General features: G+C 37.6%; 1 protein-coding gene across 21 annotated transcripts in view, besides 1 other annotated feature; it reads left to right on the top strand.

Annotated features, from left to right (window-relative positions):
- AK9 (adenylate kinase 9) overlaps positions 1–22,542 on the top strand; it is a 198,348-nt gene that overhangs the window by 9,218 nt on the left and 166,588 nt on the right. For all 21 annotated transcript variants that reach the window (XR_942337.3, NR_138057.2, XM_047418304.1 and 18 more), the window contains 5 exons: positions 6,229–6,356; positions 7,724–7,787; positions 9,818–9,870; positions 9,970–10,066; positions 19,322–19,434. Coding sequence is in view for 19 of the 21 variants with exons in the window: in XM_011535554.3 (XP_011533856.1) it covers positions 6,229–6,356; positions 7,724–7,787; positions 9,818–9,870; positions 9,970–10,066; positions 19,322–19,434 (455 nt within the window). In the remaining 2 variants the exon portion in view is untranslated. The remainder of the gene's footprint in view (positions 1–6,228; positions 6,357–7,723; positions 7,788–9,817; positions 9,871–9,969; positions 10,067–19,321; positions 19,435–22,542) is intronic.
- Positions 2,115–2,796: an enhancer, noted in NCBI's record as "NANOG-H3K27ac-H3K4me1 hESC enhancer chr6:110000392-110001073 (GRCh37/hg19 assembly coordinates)". NCBI's record gives its function as "activates a minimal SCP1, AML or CMV promoter by ChIP-STARR-seq in primed H9 embryonic stem cells {active_cell/tissue: H9 hESC(primed)}" and the evidence as "EXISTENCE:reporter gene assay evidence [ECO:0000049][PMID:30033119]".

Here is a 22,542-nt window from a genome sequence, read left to right as displayed (position 1 = left end):
GCTTTCTCTTGTGGGCATTTAGTGCTATAAATTTCCCTCTACACACTGCTTTAAATGTGTCCCAGAGATTCTCATACGTTGTGTCTTCATTCTCATTGGTTTCAAAGAACATCTTTATCTCTGCCTTAATTTCATTATTTACCCAGTAGTCATTCAGGAGCAGGTTAGTTTCCATCTAGTTGTGTGGCTTTGAGTGAGTTTCTTAATCCTGAGTTCTAATTTGATTGCACTGTGGTCTGAGAGACTGTTATGATTTCTGTTCTTTTGCATTTACTGAGGAGTGTTTTACTTCCAATTATGTGGTCAATTTTAGAATAAGTGCAGTGAGGTGCTGAGAAGAATGTATATTCTGTTGATTTGGGGTGGACAGTTCTGTAGATGTCTATTAGGTCTGCTTGGTCCAGAGCTGAGTTCAAGTCCTGAATATCATTATTAATTTTCTGTCTCATTGATCTGTCTAGTATTGACAATGGGGTGTTAAAGTCTCCCATTATTATTGTGTGGGAGTCTAAGTCTCTCTGTAGGTCTCTAAGAACTTGCTTTATGAATCTGGGTGCTCCTATATTGGGTGCATATATATTTAGTATAGTTAGCTCTTCTTGCTGCATTGATCCCTTTACCACTGTGTAATGACCTTCTTTGTCTCTTTTGATCTTTGTTGGTTTCAAATCTGTTTTATCAGAGATTAGGATTGCAACTCCTGCCTTTTTTGCTTTCCATTTGCTTGGTAAATATTCCTCCATCCCTTTATTTTGCACCTATGTTTGTCTTTGCATGTGAGATGGGTCTCCTGAATGTAGCACACTGATGGGTCTTGACTCTTTATCCAGTTTGCCAGTCTGTGTCTTTTAATCAGGGCATTTAGCCCATTTACTTTAAGGTTAATATTGTTATGTGTGAATTTGATCCTGTCACTATGATGCTAGCCGGCTGTTTTGCCCATTAGTTGATGCAGTTTCTTCATAGTGTCGATGTTCTTTACAATTTGGTATGTTTTTCAGTGGCTGGTACCAGTTGTTCCTTTCCACGTTTAGTGCCTCCTTCAGGAGCTCTTGGAAGCCTCGTTTTGACAAAATCTCTCAGCATTTGCTTGTCTGTAAAGGATTTTATTTCTCCTTCACTTATGAAGCTTAGTTTGGCTGGATATGAAATTCTGCGTTGAAAATTCTTTTCTTTAAGAATGTTGAATATTGGCCCCCACTCTCTTCTGGCTTGTAGGGTTTCTGCAGAGATCCACTGTTAGTCTGATGGGCTTCCCTTTGTGGGTAACCCAAGCTTTTTCTCTGGCTACCCTTAACATTTTTTCCTTCATTTCAACCTTGGTGAATCTGACGATTATGTGTCTTGGGGTTGCTCTTCTCAAGGGATATCTTCATGGTGTTCTCTGTATTTCCTGAATTTGAATGTTGGCCTGCCTTGCTAGGTTGGGGAAGTTATCCTGGATAATGTACTGAAGAGTGTTTTCCAACTTGATTCCATTCTCCTCATCACTTTCAGGTACACCAACCAAATGTAGATTTGGTCTTTTCACATAGTCCCATATTTCTTGGAGGCTTTGTTTGTTCCTTTTTATTCTTTTTTCTCTAATCTTGTCTTCTATCTTTATTTCATTAAGTTGATCTTCAGTCACTGATATGCTTTCTTCCACTTGATCGATTCGGCTATTGAAACTTGTGTATGCTTCATGAAGTTCTTGTGCTGTGTTTTTCAGCTCTGTCAGGTCATTTATGTTCTTCTCTACACTGGTTATTCTAGTTAGCAATTCATCTAACCTTTTATCAAGGTTCTTAGCTTCCTTGAGTTGGGTTAGAACATGCTCCTTTAGCTCGGAGGAGTTTGTTATTATCCACCTTCTGAAACCTACTTCTGTCAGTTCATCAAACTTATTCTCTGTCCAGTTTTGTTCCCATGCTGGCAAGGAGTTGTGATCCTGTGGAGGAGAAGAGGCATTCTGGTTTTTGGAAGTGTCAGCCTTTTTGCGCTGGTTTCTCCCCATCTTTGTGGATTTATCTACCTTTGGTCTTTGATGTTGGTGACCTTCGGATGGGGTTTCTGAGTGGACGTCCTTTTTGTTGATATTGATGCCATTCTTTTCTGTTAGTTTTCCTTCTAACAGTCAGGTCCCTCTGCTACAGTTCTGCTGGAGTTTGCTGGAGGTCCACTCTAGACTCTGTTTTCCTGGGTATCACCAACAGAGGCTGTAGAACAGCAAAAATTGCTGCCTGTTCCTTCCTCTGAAAGCTTTGTCCCAGAGGGGCACCTGCCAGATGCCAGCGGGAGCTCTCCTGTATGAGGTGTCTGTCGGCCCCTGCTGGGAGGTGTCTCCCAGTCAGGAGACATGGGGGTCAGGGACCCACTTCAGGAGGCAGTCTGACCCTTAGCAGAGCTCAAGCACTGTGCTAGGAGATCCCCTGCTCTCTTCAGAGCTGGCAGGCAGGGATGTTTAAGTCTGCTGAAGCTGTGCGCACAGCCACCCCTTCCCCCAGGTGCTCTGTCCCAGGGAGATAGGAATTTTATCTATAAGCCCCTGACTGGGGCTGCTGCCTTTTTTTTTCAGAGATACCCTGCCTAGAGAGGAGGAATCTAGAGAGGCAGTCTGGCTACAGAGGCTTTGCTGAGCTGCGGGGGTGGGAGGAGGGAACTTCCCCAAGGCTTTGTTTACACTGTGAGGGGAAAATCACCTACTCAAGCCTCAGTAATGGCAGACTCCCCTCCCCCAGCCAGGCTCCAGCATCCCAGGTCACTTCAGACTGCGGTGCTGGCAGCGAGAATTTCAAGCCAGTGGATCTTAGCTTGCTGGGTTCTGTGGGGGTGGGATCCGCTGAGCTAGACCACTTGGCTCCCTGGCTTCAGCCCCCTTTCCAGGGGAGTGAACAGTTCTGTCTCGCTGGCGTTCCAGGCGCCACTGGGATATGAAAAAAACTCCTGCAGCTAGCTTGGTGTCTGCTCAAACAGCTGCCCAATTTTGTGCTTGAAACCCAGGGCCCTGGTGGCGTAGGCATCAGAGGGAATCTCCTGGTCTGCGGGTTGTGAAGACTGTGAGAAAAGCATAGTATCTGGGCCAGAGTGCACCGTTCCTCATGGCACAGTCCCTCACGGCTTCCCTTGGCTAGGGGAGGGAGTTCCCCGACCCCTTGCACTCCCTGGGTGAGGCGATGCCTCACCCCGCTTCAGCTTACCCTCCATGAGCTGCATCCACTGTCTAACCAGTCCCAGTGAGATGAGCTGGGTACCTCAGTTGCAAATGCAGAAATCACCCACCTTCTGTGTTGATCTCGCTGGGAGCTGCAGACCAGAGCTGTTCCTATTCAGCTATCTTGCCAGCCTCCCGCATTAATCTTTTTTGGGGGGCGGCAACTAGTTAATATTTTTTAGTCAAACTTTTCATTTTGAGATAACTGTAGATTTACATGGAGTTGTAAGAAATAATATAGAGGAATCTTGTGCCTTTATTTCTCTTATGATAATATTTTGCAAAACTATAGTATTGACATTGATACAGTCAAGATAGAGAACGTTTCCATTCCATATGTTGCCCATATATAGTCATACCCACTTCCTTTCTGCTCTACTCCCTGCTAACCCGTGGCAACCATTAATTTGTTCTCTATTTCTATATTTTTGTCATTTCAAGAATGTTACATAAATAAGACAATATGTAAACTGTGGGATTGACTTTTGTTGTTGTTTTGCTCTGTTTAATTCTTTAGAGATTGATACACGTTGCTGCATGTATCAATAGTTTATTCATTTTTATTATTATCATATTCCATGGTATGGATGTACCACAGTTTGCTTAATTGTTCACCTTTTGAAGAACATCTGGGTTGTTTTCAGCTTTTGACTATTTTGAATAAAGCTGTGATGAACATTAATGTATATGTTTTTACGTGAACATTAATTTCCTTTTCTTTGAGATAAATGCCAAAAAGTGCAATGGCTAGTCATATGTAGTTGCATGTTTAGTTTTTTAAGAAACTTCCAAATATTTTCCAGACTATACCATTTTATATTCCCACCAGCAATGTATGAGGGATCCAGTTTCTCTGCATCCTCACCAACATCTGGTGTTGTCACTATTTTTTATTTTAGCCATTCTGATATACATGTAATATTATCTGATTATTATTTTAATTGCATTTCTCTAATGGCTAGTGATTTTTAACATCTTTTCATGTGTTTGTCATCTGTATATCTTCTTTGATGAAATGTCTCTTCAGATATTTTGGGCATTTTCCAATTGGATCATGATATTTTTTTCCTGTTGACTTTTTTAAACTCAGTGAAAAGAATTCTGTTGACCTTTGATAGTTATTTATGCATAGCCAATTATTCTAAACAATTTATTTTTTATTCACCAATTTTAAATGCCTCCTTTATCATATTTTAGGCATGTATATATTTAGCAGGGCTAGGACTCCTGCATGCATGGCTCTTCACACACACATCACACACACACAGACTCTTAATTTTATGTATTAATTTGAACATAATAGATATCTTTACAAATTAAATCCTTTCGCCCAAAAATATATTATGGTTTTTTCTTCTTTAGTGTTCATCAGCAAAATGTTATAGTTAGTGCACATGATATATCACTAATGCACATTTTTACTAAAATTATTCATACCTTTTTATAGATTTGTGCAATTATGAGTTTTTGTTGTTATTAGTGTTGGTCTGAAAGAAAATTACTATTTTTAAAAAATATTTTTGCTATATCATTTTATTTTATTTTTTAACTTTTAGGTTCGGGGTACATGTGCAGGTTTACTATATAGGTAAATTGCATGTCATAGGAGTTTGGTGCACAGATTATTTCATCACTCAGATAATAAGCATAGTACCCAATAGGTAGTTTTTTGTATCCTCTTCCTCATCCTACCCTCTACCCTCAAGTAGGCCTTAGTATCAGTTGTTCCATTCTTTGTGTCCTTGTGTACTTGATGTTTAGTTCCCACGTATAAGTGAGAACATGTAGTATTTGCTTTTCTGTTCTTGCATTAGTTTGCTTAGGATAATGGCTTCCAGCTTCATCCATGTTGCTGCAAAGGACATGATCTTATTTTTCATGGCTGCATAGTATTCTGATATATATGTACCACATCTTCTTTATCTAGTCTACCACTGATGGGCATTGAGGTTGATTCCATGTCTTTGCTGTTGTGAGTAGTGTTGTGATGAGCATATGTGTGCATGTGTGCAAAGGACATGATCTTGTTACTTTTTGCTATATCATTTTAACTAAATATTTAATAATACTATTATTTTGCTAATATTTTATTTCCATTTTAAAATTGTATTGATCAAGTAATATTTAGAAGAATATTGTTTTCATTTTTCTTTTTAATTTTCAACAATTAGGGATTTTTAAAAATACTTTTATCACTATTTTTTTCATTATTTTATCGTGATCAAGAGATATGTCTCATGCTATTTTACTGTTTACATAATAGAAATATTCGATGGATATATATAAATATTTTATGAACATAAATATGTAGTCTACAAGTGCTTGAAAACAAGAGACAGTCTTTGTTCAAAAACAAATAAACTGTTGTGACCTTATTTGTTTCTGATTGACTCCAAAAGAGTTGGACTAAGTTGAAAACTGTTCATGTTAAAATACTGAGGACTCAAGCTTCTGTGCCTAGAAATCCGCTTAAGAGCAAATCAAAATAGCAAAAGGTTTCTGAAAACAACTTTAAAATAAATATATGTTCTTACAGATATTTATAAAATATTACAAAAGAAAAAATGTAAAAATGACATTACTTTTGGAAAAGTTTTCTTCATGGAATTAACCAAAGCTTCCTAAAATATGAAAATATGAATCTAATACATTTAGCCAACATTACCTTTTCTATTTCTGGTAAAATTTATACATGCACCTATGTTGCATGTGCATGTACAACATATTTAACTTTAATTTGGTTTTTAATATAATACACACAAATCTGTATTTTTTCCTCAAGTTAGTCTTTCAGAAACACTTTGAGCTCTCTTTTATACAACATATAGTTGGATTTTGTTTTTGTCTCAAACTAAGAGCTTACTATTGTTTTTATAAATGAGTTAAACTTATTTGCAATTACTGACAAAATTCATGTGTTTAATGGTACAAAATGACTTCTGGGCTAAGAAAACTCACAGGTTATTTCAATTGTTCCTAGTCACCTCATCCAACCAAATTAGACAAGTTAACAATCTTACCCTTTTTTATTGTAGTATTTTGTGTCATGACTTCTCAAGAGAAGACAGAAGAGTATCCTTTTGCAGATATATTTGATGAAGATGAAACTGAAAGGAATTTTTTGTTGTCCAAACCTGTTTGCTTTGTTGTATTTGGGAAACCAGTAAGTTATCTCTTATTATTTGGTATAATTTTTTTTATTTTTAAAATCACAATTTTCTAAGTTACCATATAAAAATAAAAACCACATATTGTGCTCATTTTTTGAGTGTCTGATAAGCTTTTATTATATGACTTAAAATCTGCCATAATATTGGTTATAAATTCATAACTATCTCTTGCACACATGCACACATATGCTCATCGCAACACTACTCACAACAGCAAAGACATGGAATCAACCTAAATGCCCATCAGTGGTAGACTAGATAAAGAAGATGTGGTACATATATACCGCAATACTATGTTATATGTTATAATTGAGAAGGAACCCAGACTATATTTAAATTTGCTTTTATATTATGATGAAATTAACTTACCAAAACACTGCACATGACAACTGTTAGTAGTGTGTAATCTGAGGTTATTTCAGACTTGATTTGCATATGAAACTTCCTATGCAATTTGTTTTGAGGCTCTGTGGATATGTGAAGATAGGACACCATCAAGATGAGCCAGGAGGTTCTCCTGTTAATATCTGAGATCCTGAGAGGCACCATGCCTCAGGCTTTACCTACAGCATGTTAGGGGACCTATGTGTTGACTTTCCACAAATCAGAAAGACACCAAAATGGCTATTATAATAAAGTTTGCTTTTCTAGACATTTCTAGTAAGAAACTCTAGATAAAAGCTACTGACAGCCACTGAGCTGGTTGATTAAAGAGCCTCTCCAGAATAGCAGAGATTAAGAGCTGGATCCCATCCTTGACTTACTTTACATGGACCCTGGGACAGGTACCAATAAATGGTTTCAACAACTTTCACTATGTTTCTAAAAACATAATGGGTTTTAAAAAGTCAACAGTGAAAGCAACCAGACACAAATGTTACTTCATCAAAACGACCTTTTATCTTTAAAGTATGATACTTTCCAAAGATGTCAGTTAAAAAGGATCTTTTTGCTCATCAAAATTACTAAATGGAAGCCTGTCAAAACATTCATGATTATGAACTTTAGAAAGGAAATAAAATGATGACTCTCCAATATAATCACAATGATTTGTAATCAAAATTATAAAAATTGACAGTTAAAATTGTGCAGTACCATAATGGTATAGCTTCTTGATTTTAGGGCTATGTACTTAATATTAAAAAGTTTATTTATATTACTTTAGGAGATGTGACATATGCAAAAATTAGTAAAGAAAAACTAAACTATACGTATCTAGGGTCTATTCTTCATTTTTTATGGGAAAAATTATAACATTGATGTAATAGTAACTAGCAATAGAATCTTTAAAAATTGCTGTATCTGTGTCACTGGCAAGTAACTGTTCTATTGGGCTTTAAATAACATTTTTCTTTTTAAGGGTGTTGGGAAAACAACATTAGCCCGTTACATAACACAGGCATGGAAATGTATTCGTGTTGAAGGTAAATTTTATCTTTTTTCTCTAATATTTTATTATGAAAACTTTCAAATATTCATAAAATGGAGATAATTATACAGTGAATGCCCATATACTCACCATCTAGAGTCTGTGATTAACGTTTTGCTATATTTGCTTTATCACACATTTGTCCACCTATCAACCCAGTGAATATTATCTGCTTGGGTTTTTATTTATATTTAATTTAATTAATTATTATTTTTTTTTTTTGTAGAGACATGGTCTTGCTTTGTTGCCCAGGCTGGTTTCAAACTCCTGGGCTCAAACAGTCTTCCCACCTTGGCCTCCCAAAGTACTAGATTACAGGTGTGAGCCACAACACCCGGCCCAATATTATTTTTATAACAGCATTATCAATCCAATAATGTTTTGCCCTTCTGTTTGTCCTAGTTTTGTTCATAGCATTTATGAAATGTCATCAACTCTATTCTACTACCTCCAATTCTCTATTCGTAATTTAGAACTGTTTGGGATATGTGTGTTTGGGTGTCTTTTTATGAAAGCTCAAATGAGATGGAACTCTCACAGCTTTTCTTAGGAACATTTTTCAGAACTTAATTGTCTTCAATGATAACTTTTATTTTTTATTTATAAATTTTCTTGCATTCTTTGCAATATATAAGAGAATGGGTTGATATCTTTATATATAAATATTCTTTTAATTAATAAAACTATTTATGCCCTAATAGAAAAATAAGAAAAAGAATGAATAGGCAATTCATAAAAGTAGAAATAAAAATAAACAATATAAGAAAAGAGAGTTTAACATCATTCTAAGAAATGTTAATCAACATAACACTGGTCCATATTTGCCTATCAAATTGGCAGTGAATCTTTACAATTACTACAATCACTGTAGGTAAGGATGTTATGAAATGGGCATTCCACATGCTGTTAGTAAAGTTGCAATCTGGTACAATTTTTTTGGAGAACAATTTGTAATACATAACACACACACACTCACACACACACACAACTCTAAAAGTTTCTTCTTTCTTTGTTCAAAAAGTTTACTTCTAGGAAATCTTAAAGAATACCAAACATCCCATAGATTATTAATAACTAATGATATAACAACTCTCCTGGGTCCTCCCCTGGGTCATGCCCCTGTCATTCCTATCCCAGGATGTCCTCTATCAAGGAATGATACATTTCCTCTTTTAAAGGAAATAAATCATTGGAATTTCAGCCTCAAGACCCCTCTTTCTAATCAGTGTTTACCCATTTTAACATTTCTTGATTCATTTCCTTTTACACCATGTGCAAAACTAGCAGGCTTTGGATGTAATTGTATGGTTATGAAAATCTGGATTAATTAATACCAGTGCATACTTTTGTAACTAAATGATTTAGAAATCACTGTCATATACACCACCTGATTTCATCCTTACGTTCTATTGTACACTACACAGTACATATGCATCCAAGGTGCAGAGGCGTTTACAGAGTTAACTCCCCCAGGATTCTTTATTTTTTTATTTTTTATTTTTATTTTGAGACACGCCCTCACTTTGTCATCCAGGCTGGAGTGCAGTGACATGATCACGGCTCTCTGCAAACTTGACCTCCTGGGCTCAAGTGATCACCCCACGTCAGCTTCCTGAGTAGCAGGGACTATAGGCATGCACCATAACTATGCCCTGCTAATTTTTTAACTTTTTGTAGGAATGTAGTCTCCCTATGTTGCCTAGGCTGGTCTCAAACTTCTGGGCTCAAGCAATCCTCCTGCCTTGAACTCCCAAAGTACTGGGATTGCAGACATGAGTCACCATGTTCGCTTCTCCAAGATTCTTAAGCTTAGTAAGTGGCAGAGACAAGTTCTCTATGGAAGACATTCTGCTGCTTCTGCTTTGGTTAGGCTTAAGTGAAGTAATATGCATACATTTGCATTGTAAATTATAAAGTGATGCACAAATGTTAATCTTTGTTACCAGTTACAAGACACTAGAATGTGTTTCTTATTTTGGTGATCTTAATATCAGTCTGTATTAATATTTTGAATTCATGTTTTAGCTTTGCCAATTTTAGAAGAACAGATTGCTGCTGAAACCGAATCAGGAGTTATGGTAAACAAACCTAAATTTCAAAGTAACTATGATTACAAAAAAAGCTCTGTATCATAGATATATTATACAGTAATGTACAATATCTATGCTTGTCCTTAGTTGCAATCAATGTTGATCAGCGGTCAAAGCATTCCAGATGAACTTGTCATAAAGCTAATGTTGGAGAAGCTCAACTCCCCAGAAGTCTGTCACTTTGGTATGTTTATTTTAATATATTTACAGCCCACAAAGCAGCCTTAAAACTCATGCTTTATCTGAGGCAAAAATAGTTTCTGGAGTTGCCCTTTCTTTTGCCTTAGCATAAGAATCTCATTATCTCTATTCAGTTGAACAGCTCAGATGGTTTTATTTGCTTGTTTTTATTTCTCAGATTGTACATTTGTTTTAAAAATAAGTTTATATGACCCAATCTTCTTTAACATTGTGTTATCCAGTAAAAGCATCAGAAATCTGCTGTGGTCCATCTTGCAGTACTGCTAACTCTGCTGACTGCTTCCTCATACACCTTGGGTTATATTGCTAAGTCCTGACAATGGCTAGGGTTGTCTGCATTAATCCACACTTAGAAGGCGGGAGTGGGAAGTGGAATGCCACTATCTTACTGTTGAGCTCCAGATATTGTCAGGCTTCAGCCTGTTCTTCCAGTCTGCCCTCTGACTCTGGACCTGAAACCTCTCCTGGTACTCAAATGGATGCTGAGCAAGGGCTTTGGATCTAATTTTTCAAGACAAAGACCACTGAAGCTCAAAATGATTAAAAAGAAAAGAGCAAACTCTAATACCTCTGCAAAAGAAGAGGAGAAGAATAATGACAAGTTTGGGATAAAATCATCCACCTGAAATGGATTTACTGAATGAAAAAAGAAAAATTAAGAAAGTTGTTTTATATTCTTAGTAAGTTAGAAGAAGACATTGTAACTATTAATGCAGGAATAAAAATACAGGAAAGTAAAAACCATAACTGCCAAAGCAAATCAATGATGGAAGCAGCAAACGCAGCCTTGTCAAACTGTATTTACTGGTTTCTATCTATAGACAAAAAGATTCCTTTTCATATAGCTCATGTGTATAGAGAGATGATACATAGAATGTCCCATATCCACATATGTAGACAGGTCTCTATATGGATATATGGGTTTTTATATATAATACATATATAGAGATTAATATATATGGATTATAAATACATTATAAGTAGATAAGGTTTCTCTGTAAACTATCTACCTATCTATCCACTTATTACCTATTTGTTCAGCAGTGATAAAGAGACTGAACGGCAAAATATCCAGAATATGGAAGGCTGGATAAGTAAAAAGGCAAACAGGAATCACAGAATTCCAAATTACGTCAATAAATGACCTCAGAAAACATAGTATTTGAAACAGATATGTATATAGGTAGGTAAGTAAATACCTATTTGTTAACCTCACTTACCTCTTGAAAAACTTAAATTGGTTTACATGGCTACAAAAAAGATGACATAAATTATAAGTATTGGCAAAAGGAGAAAGAAAAAAAAACAACACGAAGAAACTCAGTTGTGCCTCTCATGGTGTTCATAATGTTTTACAGTTGTTATTAGGAAATAGTTCAAACAAAAGTAGGGAGATTAGTATAAAGATGCTTCCACATTACCACTCAGGTTCAGCATATGTCCAAAACCAACTCTAGTCTAATCTCGTTTCATCTACACTTCTACTTACTCCCTTCTCTCAACCTATGTTATTTTGAAGCTAATCCATATCATATCAGTTCATCTGTATAATGTTCCATTTATATCTCTAAAAGAAAAGGACACTTAAACCTATTACACATTACCATTATCACACCTAAAAAATTAATTGTTATTCCTTGATATCATCTACTAGATTTCATTAATTACCTCATAGATATTTTTTAGTTGATTTTTTTTGAAGCAGGATCTAACCAGGTTTCACATAGTACAAGTGATTAGTATGTCTCAAGTCTCTTTATATATAAGTTTCCCCTACTTCTTTCTATCTTATTGTTTCTTCTCTGATGAAGAAAACAGGTCATTTGTCTTGTAGAGTTTCCCACATTCTGGATTTGGCTGATTGCATTCCTCAGACCCCAGTACTTCCTGTATGCCGATACTTGTCCTAGGAGCTGGCAGAGGAAAAGTGATATAAATGGTTTCCTGAGTCTGGGGGCCACACCCTCACCATTTGGTTACAAGGCCACGTTCTAGGCATGCACAAACGAGCTCATTTAAAGGTTGCAGTGGAGATGGAACCTAAAGCGCCTTCTGCCCAGCCACCCCTTAACCCATCCTGTAGCATCCCACAGGAATTGTTTTAGAACCTAGCACTCGGCTAAATACAGTTTGAAAATCTTTGCCCAAATTCCCAGCAAGGCGTCTCATCCTGATGTTTGCTCTCAACCCGTAGCCTGGTAGAAGGTAGAAGCAAAATTGGAAGTGAAGGGTTTTCAAAACAGGGATATAAACTTGATTAGGTCAATAGATGCAGAAAAGGCCTTTGACAAAATTCAACAGCCCTTCATGCTAAAAACTCTCAATAAATTAGGTATAGATGGGATGTATCTAATCATAATTAAGCTATTTATGACAAACCCACAGCCAATATCATACTGAATGGGCAAAAACTGGAAGCATTCCTTTTGAAAACTGGCACAAGACAGGGATGCCCTCTCTCACCACTCCTATTCAACATAGTGTTGGAAGTTCTGGCCAGGGCAGTCAGGCAGGAGAAAGAAATAAAGGGTATTCAATTCGGAAAAGAGGAAGTCAAATTGTCCCTGTTTGCAGATGACATGATTGTATACCTAGAAAACCCCATCGTCTCAGCCCAAAATCTCCTCAAGCTGATAAGCAACTTCAGCAAAGTCTCAGGATACAAAATCAATGTGCAAAAATCACAAGCATTCTTATACACCAATAACAAACAGCCAAATCATGAGTGAACTCCCATTCACAATTGCTTCGAAGAGAATAAAATACCTAGGAATCCAACTTACAAGGGATGTGAAGGACCTCTTCAAGGAGAACTACAAACCACTGCTCAATGAAATAAAAGAGGACACAAACAAATGGAAGAACATTCCATGCTCATGGATAGGAAGAATCAATGTCGTGAAAATGGCCATACTGCCCAAGGTAATTTATAGATTCAATGCCATCCCCATCAAGCTACCAATGACTTTTCACAGAATTGGAAAAAACTACTTTAAAGTTCATATGGAACCAAAAAAGAGCTGGCATCGCCAAGGCAATCCTAAGCCAAAAGAACAAAGCTGGAGGCGTCACGCTACCTGACTTCAAACTATACTACAAGGCTACAGTAACCAAAACAGTGTGGTACTGGTACCAAAACAGAGATATAGACCAATGGAACAGAACAGAGGCCTCAGAAATAATGCCGCAGATCTACAACTATCTGATCTTTGACAAATCTGACAAAAACAAGCAATGGGGAAAGGATTCCCTATTTAATAAATGGTGCTGGGAAAACTGGCTAGCCATATGTAGAAAGCTGAAACTGGATCCCTTCCTTACACCTCATACAAAAATTAATTCAAGATGGATTAAAGACTTAAATGTTAGACCTACAACCATAAAAACCCTAGAAGAAAACCTAGGCAATACCATTCAGGACAGAGGCATGGGCAAGGACTTCATGTCTAAAATACCAAAAGCAATGGCAACAAAAGTCAAAATTGACAAATGAAATCTAATTAAACTAAAGAGCTTTTGCCCAGCAAAAGAAACTACCATCAGAGTGAACAGGCAACCTACAGAATGGGAGAAAATTTTTGCAACCTACTCATCTGACAATGGGCCAATATCCAGAATCTACAAAGAACTCAAACAAATTTACAAGAAAAAAAAAACCCCATCAAAAAGTGGGCAAAGGATATGAACAGACACTTCTCAAAAGAAGACATTTCTGCAGCCAACAGACACATGAAAAAATGCTCATCATCACTGGCCGTCCAAGAAATGCAAATCAAAACCACAATGAGATATCATCTCACACCAGTTAGAATGGCAATCATTAAAAAGTCAGGAAACAACAGGTGCTGGAGAGGATGTGGCGAAATAGGAACACTTTTACATTGTTGGTGGGACTGTAAACTAGTTCAACCATTGTGGAAGACTGTGGCGATTCCTCAGGGATCTAGAACTAGAAATATCATTTGACCCAGCCATCCCATTACTGGGTATATAGCCAAAGGAATATAAATCATGCTGTTATAAGGACACATGCACACATATGCTTATTGTGGCACTACTCACAATAGCAAAGACTTGGAACCAACCCAGATGTCCAACGATGATAGACTGGATTAAGAAAATGTGGCACATATACATCATGCAATACTATGCAGCCATAAAAAATGATGAGTTCATGTCCTTTGTAGGTACATGGATGAAGCTGGAAACCATCATTCTCAGCAAACTATCGCAAGGACAAAAAACCAAACACCGCATGTTCTCACTCATAGGTGGGAATTGAACAATGAGAACACTTGGACACAGGAAGGGGAACATCACACACTGGAGCCTGTTGTGGGATGGGGGGAGAGGGGAGGGAAAGGATTAGGAGATATAGCTAATGTAAATGACGAGTTAATGGGTGCAGCACACCAACATGGCACACATATACATACGTAACAAACCTGCACATTGTGCACATGTACCCTAGAACTTAAAGTATGATTAAAAATAAATAAAATAAAACAAAAGAAAAAATAATTAAGCAAATGACAACTAAAATAGTAACTTCAAAATGAGATTAATGGAATAAAATAACAAAGAGAATTAAAAAAAAAAACAACTTGAGTGGGGGGCTGGGTGAGGATGGATAATTGATGACTCCAAAATCCCTGAAGAGATATGTGCACTTCCAGGGACATCACACGGCAGAGTATTGCCAAATTCATCTTAATTTTGTTTTATACTAGAGCCCTTTTAATAATTGGTGTTTCCATCACTATTTTAAAAGGGCCTACACGATCTATAATTATCTTTTCATTCACAATCTATTGTGTTGTTTTGGCCCTTAGCCAAAATCAGCTTCTCGGAGCTATATCCTTACCCAAGAGAAACAGATAGAGTCAATATGTGGCATCCTAAAAGCTCCTCACTGCTCCCTGCTTCTAGATTCTGGAAAATCTCGTTTTCCCCAGTGAATGAATAGCCCCAGTCTGGGCATTCCCTGCCCCGAGTATATCTTTATGAATAGTCTTGCAAGTCATTGGTCACCAATGTGTCCACTCATATCAGCCTGGTCTGAGGTCAGATGGGTAGAAGAGATGGCTGGACACAAGGCTACATCAGCCTGGCCAGAGGTCAGATGGGTAGCAGGGATGGCTGAACACAAAGCTACCTGATATCTCTGAATCTGTCATCACTTCAATCTGAAAGCAGTAGTCTGCCATCTTCATTTGTATGGAAATAGAAAATGCCTTCTTCCCACTGTGCCAAGAAATGGTGGCAAAGTGATGGTATGGGCCTGAGACAAGTCAGTTTCCTCTGGGCAGTGGTCTGGACAGTCTTACAGTTTCTCATTGGTTGAGCTAATGAGAACTGGGCAATGGCCTACAAAGCACCTAGTCTGCCTATGATAGAACATGCAAAGTCTCCCAGCAAGGACTGGCTTGGGGTGCGCCACTCCTCCATCGTTAGCATGGAAGGGCAAGGGCTTGGTAATGGTCTCAAGGACATGTGGGGTGGGAGCGAGGAGTTCCTCATCTGTGCTTTCATCCTCACATGTCTCTGGAATTGGAAAGGTTGACACTGGGCTCAGTAGTTCTGGTCTGTTTAACAAGCAGTGTGTCCCTGGGATCTTCCAGAATTGGGACTAGAGGACTAATCTATTCCACTTTACATCTGCAATGGTGAGACAAACTTAGATGACATAATTGTCTATCCCACACCTCCTCCCATAGATACACCCCTAGGCTCTGGAATGATAATACTAGACATCTCTCAGAGGGTAGAGCCCCACAATTCATAGCTCAGAACATTCAGGCAGCCCAAACAATGGCCTTTCAAGAGAGAGCTAGATCCATGGAAATTACTTATTCTTCTGCCATTTCCATCAGTAAAGAGACCAAGTATGAACATCATTCCAATATACATGTACACCAGAAGTTCAGCATTCCTGCAAACAGTTGCACGTGGAATGCCTGACAAGCTCTCCAGGCAGTGGCAGTGGCAGTGGCTGTAGGAACAGGAAGGTTTTGGCAAGCACAGCAAACAGTGCCAAGCATCTTTCTGTGATCCACTTACGATACACAGATGTTGGGAAGTATTACCAGCATAGGGAATGGCAGGGAGATACTGTTGCTTTTGCTTACAAGGCAAGGGCAAGGACTCTGGAGATAGATGGTCTCTGGAACTGTCTAACTTGGAGGAGTTAGCTTGCCAAGGTCTGAGTTCCATCCAGAGCTAGGCATGCAGTCCCGTTCAGTGTAGTACCTACCATCACAATGTGTCAGACCAGGAGTTAATGCCAGCCATCGTGTCCCAGAGGAGATACTGGTCAAAGTCTTAAAAACCAGTTCAAACATGTTGTTAATCAAGTGGAAGCTAGACTCACAAGAGCAAAGATGCCAAACCAAATGAGGGTGGTGTGGAGCCAGAAAAGCAGAAAGAGAACAACAAGAAGAGGCAGGTAGAGAAAGGTCTGGCCCATTTCTTGAGACAGTGCAGGCAGTGTCTACATTTTTTTAGGGATGTACTGAGCTAATTTAATGAACCTCCAATAGGATAGATGCCTTGGGGATACCACGCTATGTTTAAGACAATAGCAGGAGCATGTAAGTAAGTCAAGTTGGACACTAAGGATCATAGCAAGACAAGAGGGAATCATACCTACAGTTCATATATCTAAAACCAAGATGACAAGGTCATCCTTTCTGCCTTTTTAAGTTAAATTAGGTAGGATTGCTTCTCTGGATAGAGCCCAACACACTGTTAGCAGAAAGTAAAGTGATCAAAAAAGCTTAGGAGACATTGTGTATGCCTAAGCATTTAATTAGGTTTTGAATTAGCATGATGGTTCTTGGTCTTCTTCTTCTTTATTTTTTTTGAGACGGAGTCTCGCTCTGTTGCCCAGGCTGGAGTGCAGTGGTGCGATCTCGGCTAACTGCAACCTCTGCCTCCAGGGTTCAAGCGATTCTCCTGCCTCAGCCTCCCGAGTAGCTGGGATTACAGGCACCCGCCACTATGCTTGGCTAATTTTTGTATTTTTTTTTTTTAGTAGAGATGGGGTTTCATCATGTTGGCCAGGCTGGTCTTGAACGCCTGACCTTGTGATCCACCCTCCTCGGCCTCCGAAAGTGCTGGGATTACAGGCATGACCCACCGCACCTGGCCTGATCTTCTTTTTTAAAAATAAAAGATTGTGGCCTGACGTGGTGGCTCATGCCTGTAATACCAGCACTTTGAGAGGCCGAGGCAGGCGGATCACGAGATCGGGAGATCGAGACCATCCTGGCCAACATGGTGAAACCCTGTCTCTACTGAAAATACAAAAATTAGCCGGGCGTGGTAGCATGCGCCTGTAGTCCCAGCTACTCAGGAGGCTGAGGCAGGAGAATCACTTGAACCCCGGAGGCGGAGGTTGCAGTGAGCCGAGACCACACCACTGCCCTCCAGCCTGGGTGACAGAACAAGATTCTGTCTCAAAATAAATAAATAAATAAAAATAAAAATAAAAGATTGTGATGAGCATGTTCTGAGGTGAGGAATTTTAAGTTTGTTTTACACACATTCATTCACTCGTCTATCAACAGGTGCTTGGTAACTTTTTTTATTATGCTATTCTAGGCATTGCATTAAGATAGTGGTTCTCAAACTTTTGGGGCACAAGACTCTCTTACACTAATAAGAATTGTTGAGGCTCCATAAGTAGTTATGCTTACATGGGCTATATGTATTTATATTTACCATATTAGAAATTAAAACAGAGACTTTAAAAAATATCTGTTTAGAAATCATAAAACCATGACTTGTTAACATAAATTGCATATTTTATGAAAGATAATTTTTCAAAACAAAAAATTAGAAAAGTGGCATTGCTTTACATTTTCACAATCTCTTCAATGTCCAACTTAAGAGAAAGCTGGATTCTCACACCTGCTTCTGCTCAATCTGTTGCAATATATTGCTTTCGCTGAAATACATGAAGAAAATGTAGTTTCACATAGATATATTCTTGGAAAGGGAGGAGTATTTTAATAGCCTTTGGAATAATTGTGGATATTCTTGATTCTACATCAAAACCCAACAGGTGGAAGTTTCCTGAAGGTTGGTTGCATTGTGGAATCTGAAACTGTATCAGTGAACTTTTCAAAACTTGGTTACATTAAAATCCATTGGTCTGTCTTGCACTTGGAATAAGCCTGTAACCCATGCCTAATTTTTGTGGCACCATGCATTGGTCATTTGGAAAATGTTGGTTCACTGAGTTATACAGATCTTCCAAATGTTGACACACTTTACTATACAGTATCAAGAAATCACATTTGTTAATGTCACCACCACTCTCATCAAGAAAAGCCCATTATTAAGCTTTTCTTAATAATGGATGTAAGTTTTTCAAAATTCAGATTTTCACTTGAATATTATAACTGGCAACAAATGCTATCAGTTTTTGTCCTTGCAGTGACAGGGTCATTCCATTCACTTTTCATAAGATTTCTGCCAAATACCCAGGGCTGAATAAACATAGTTTGTCTGTTGTTCTTCCAAGAAAAGATGTACAGAAGTAAGCTGAAAGCTTTTAATTCCCACTGAAGGAATTGAGACTTTATTAATAAGAGAAAAGCTTCTTGAGCAAGACAGTAACATAATTGAAGAAATATATTAAGGAAATTAATATGATGATGGTAAACGGTGAATTTCAGTGAGAAGATTGAGATTTCTGGGTGGGGATACAAGCCAATAACTGCACTAAACCAAAATCATATTGGCTGTTTAAAAAACAGAAAATTATAGTGTGTCCATGGGTGTTTTATTACTCTCATAACTTATAAAAACATTATACACACATGTTCTACTATATTATGAAATATTAATATGAGAAAAAAATAAATATGGCATGCAACCCCTATAATATACCTTTACCATTCATATGAGTAAACTTTCCTAACATGAGTTAAAATAATTACTAGCATGAAATTTCCTTCCCTAGGCACCTCATCTGTCTAAAATAAATTGACTTGGAGTTTTCAAAAATGTCTTCTTCTAGTCCAGTGATTTCTTTATCATCAGAAAAACATTATTCATAGTTACACTTCATGTGGCAATAACTTTAAGTGTTAATTTAAAATTTTTGAGAGATGACTTTATGATAGATGAGTATAAAGTAATAATATAGTAAATATATATATAATATAATAAATCCATGCCCTCATATGTTGATAATTTTATAAAAGTTTTAAAATTATATTTTACTTTACAGGTTATATTATCACTGAAATACCATCACTTTCACAGGATGCCATGACTACCTTACAGCAAATAGAATTAATTAAAAACTTAAACCTGAAACCTGATGTTATAATCAATATAAAGGTAAGGATATTAATTGTTTTGCTAGTAGAGTAAACCATTCTTTTTGATAGTAGTTAAATTCAAGGAATGCTTTAAACATTTTTAAATAGTTATGGAGATAATAACTTATGCATCAATCACAGGAACTGAGTCATACTTCTCATAGTTCTGTGCTCTTGCTCCTAAAGCTCCATCCACATGAGATACCTTCTTGCCTCTTCACCAGGCTTCCTCATAGCCATCCTTTGAAAGTCAGTTAATACATCATCTCTTTAGAACTTTCCCTGACAACTACCCCGCTCCACCACCTCTCTTTCTGTCACTCCCTTCCACACCTTACTTATCATAAGAGAGTTAAATCCTTCTCTGATGACCATTCGTGGTGCTCTCCGCTCCCTGTCATGTTACTCACCTTACTATATTATAATTATCCATTTTCCTCCTAGACTCTGTCTTACTTGAAGGTAGGAACCATGTCTTGCTCATATAAACATCAACCAGTATATTACGTGGTACATAGTGGCACCTAGTAAGTTTACTAATAAAATGAAAGAATAGACACATGACATGAATGTATGAATGTTAAAGAACACTACTACATTAATTACGAGTTAAGGTTGGGTCTTGTTCCTAATTCTCTCTTTTATTATTAGAATTTGGTAAATCACATCTAGAAGTCTTGATTTCCTTTTTACAAAAATGACAATAGCTGCCTCATGGGGTTGTGATAAGAATTTAGCAAGGTGGTGTCTTCTTGTTTATGTCAAAATGAATGATAAGCTTTTGTATCCATACTCGGCCAGGGTTTATGACAGCTCAAATAAACTAGATGGTTTTCAGCTCAGATGCTGGGACCCAGTGGAGTGTCAGGGTCAGCTGTGAGAGAGAGGTGGCCTTGCAGTGCTGAATGTGGTGTAATCTGCAGCCCCAGCCACCACTCATGGCCAGGGGTCAATCACAATTGTGAGTGAACTTGAGAATGTCACACATGTGAATGTGGACATAACAGAGATATCTCATTCAACTGAAACCACATACAAAAACTAAGCCTAGGAAAAGACAGATTCAATAGAAAATTAAGATCTAATTGAGAGAGAGCACACAGTTGTGCAGGCCAGAAGACCCCAAATGCTTACTAAGTTTGGATCATAAATTTGGTTCTAGGTTTGGTGAACTAAAGTAAAAGGGGAAATGTGACCAGTTATAAAATTCACATTGTCCATGAGAAGACAAGCCATTCCTCAGGCAAAACAAGACTGCCATTGAGAATGAGAGAAATACCTTAGATGGGTCTTAATATAAGAGACTGCTTAATGTAGTGAATAAAGTCCTTAACCCCATTCATGTTATAAGTGTGATCATGAAGTATCCTATGGCAGTTTCTACAGGGTAACCAGAGTATCATCAGAGGGCTTAATGTGAGACAGAATTCAGTGCAACACACATTTTTTGGATAGTTTGTCCTTATTGGGGAATAAGCCTGGAATTTCTAGAGCAGAAGCTCTTAGCCCAAGATCCATAAATCCCTAAGCATTCATGAACCTCTTGAAATTATACATAAAACTTTATGTATATGTGAATTTTTCTGATGCAAAAATCTATGGCTTTCATCATGTTCTAAAGGATTCTGTGCTACCAAAAACCTGGTTAAAGGCTAGCAATCTACTAGAGCAGTAGTTATCAGAGAGTGGTCCCAGTTCCAACAGCACCCAGAAGCTTAGTAGAAATGCAAATTCTCAGGCCCTACCCCAGAACTAAGAACCAGAATCTGTCAGGTGGAGCCCAGCTATTAGTGTTGCAAAGCCCTCCAGGTGACACTGAGCACTTCTGCTCTGAGTTATATCCTTCAGACTCACACTTTCATTAGTCATTTCCTGCAAATGAGAACGGGAGACAGCTGAAGGAGATAGTCCTTGTCAAGGTCCTAGAAGGTGGGTATCCTGGGTTGTAAAACAGATGTTTTAAAAAATTACCTGTGTAGGTTGAAATTCTTTTTGTGAAAAATTAGGAAGCCTAACAAAAGTCTTACCTCAATAATTACCCATCCCATCTCCATCTAGAGATGGCATGAAGAAATCAGAAAATGAGCAATGAAGGTTCCAACATTCCTGGCTTCCTTTGTTTCTCAATGTGTGGTACATGAACTGCCAGCATCAGAATCACTGAGGATGCTTGTTGAAGAATCTAAGCCTCACTCCAAACTTAATAAATGACAAGAGGAGCTGCAATTGATTTAACAAGCTCCTCAGATAGAGTTACATGCTCATATGTCAGAATCACTGCCTCAGAAAACCATCCAGATTTTTTTTTATCCTGAAAAACATTCAGAGCACAATTTACAACCTCAAACCATCATCATTAATAATGCATCATAGACCATGGACTACAATCAGAAGGCTTGGTTCCAAGTTGCAGTTCCTCCATGTGACATTGTGACCTGAGATTGGTTTCTTAGTCTGCCATAGCTGTACTTCTCTGACCTGAAGGATGGTTTTAATTGTAATTTGGATTGCTTATCTTACAGGGTTAGTTGAGAATTCAGTAAAATCGCACGAGTGAAAGCACTTTGGAACAAGAAACTTACTTGTAGACTTTGGTTTTGGCTTTTTTACTACCTGGATTCAGTTTTCTCATTTACAAAATATAAATGTTATACTAGAATAGATGATCTTTCAGGTCCCATTTATGACTGGCATTGTATAAAACACCTCACCCATAAAGCTGTAAGTGATAGTAAATATTACAAATAAACAATATATTTTATTGGAAATATGTGGCTATTCCCCCCATTTTGCTCCATTCGTAAACTTTTCAAGCTAATCATAGAATTCTGTGTACCTTTGCAGAGTTAACTGATTTTCTATTCCATTTCTCTACTGTTTCTACTTTTCCAATCCTCTTTTCTCATCTTAAGACTTGTAATACTTTTTCACCTATATTAATTTTGGACAAATAAAAACATATAGCATAAAATTAGTGTCTGAGCCTCTCTTGGCATGTAATGAAACCTGATGCAAAATGCCAGTCACAATATTGCATTTGCTCAGGTTTTAAAGGAATTTTTTGGTTTATGTACTGTACAATATATTCAATAAATACACAGGGAATTAAAAGCATATTCAAAATGTT

The sequence above is a fragment of the Homo sapiens genome, chromosome 6 (genome assembly GCF_000001405.40).
Source record: "Homo sapiens chromosome 6, GRCh38.p14 Primary Assembly".
In the NCBI taxonomy this organism is placed as follows: domain Eukaryota; kingdom Metazoa; phylum Chordata; class Mammalia; order Primates; family Hominidae; genus Homo; species Homo sapiens.
The sequence above is the reverse complement of the archived record's forward strand: the minus strand, read 5'-3'. Positions and strand labels throughout refer to the sequence as shown.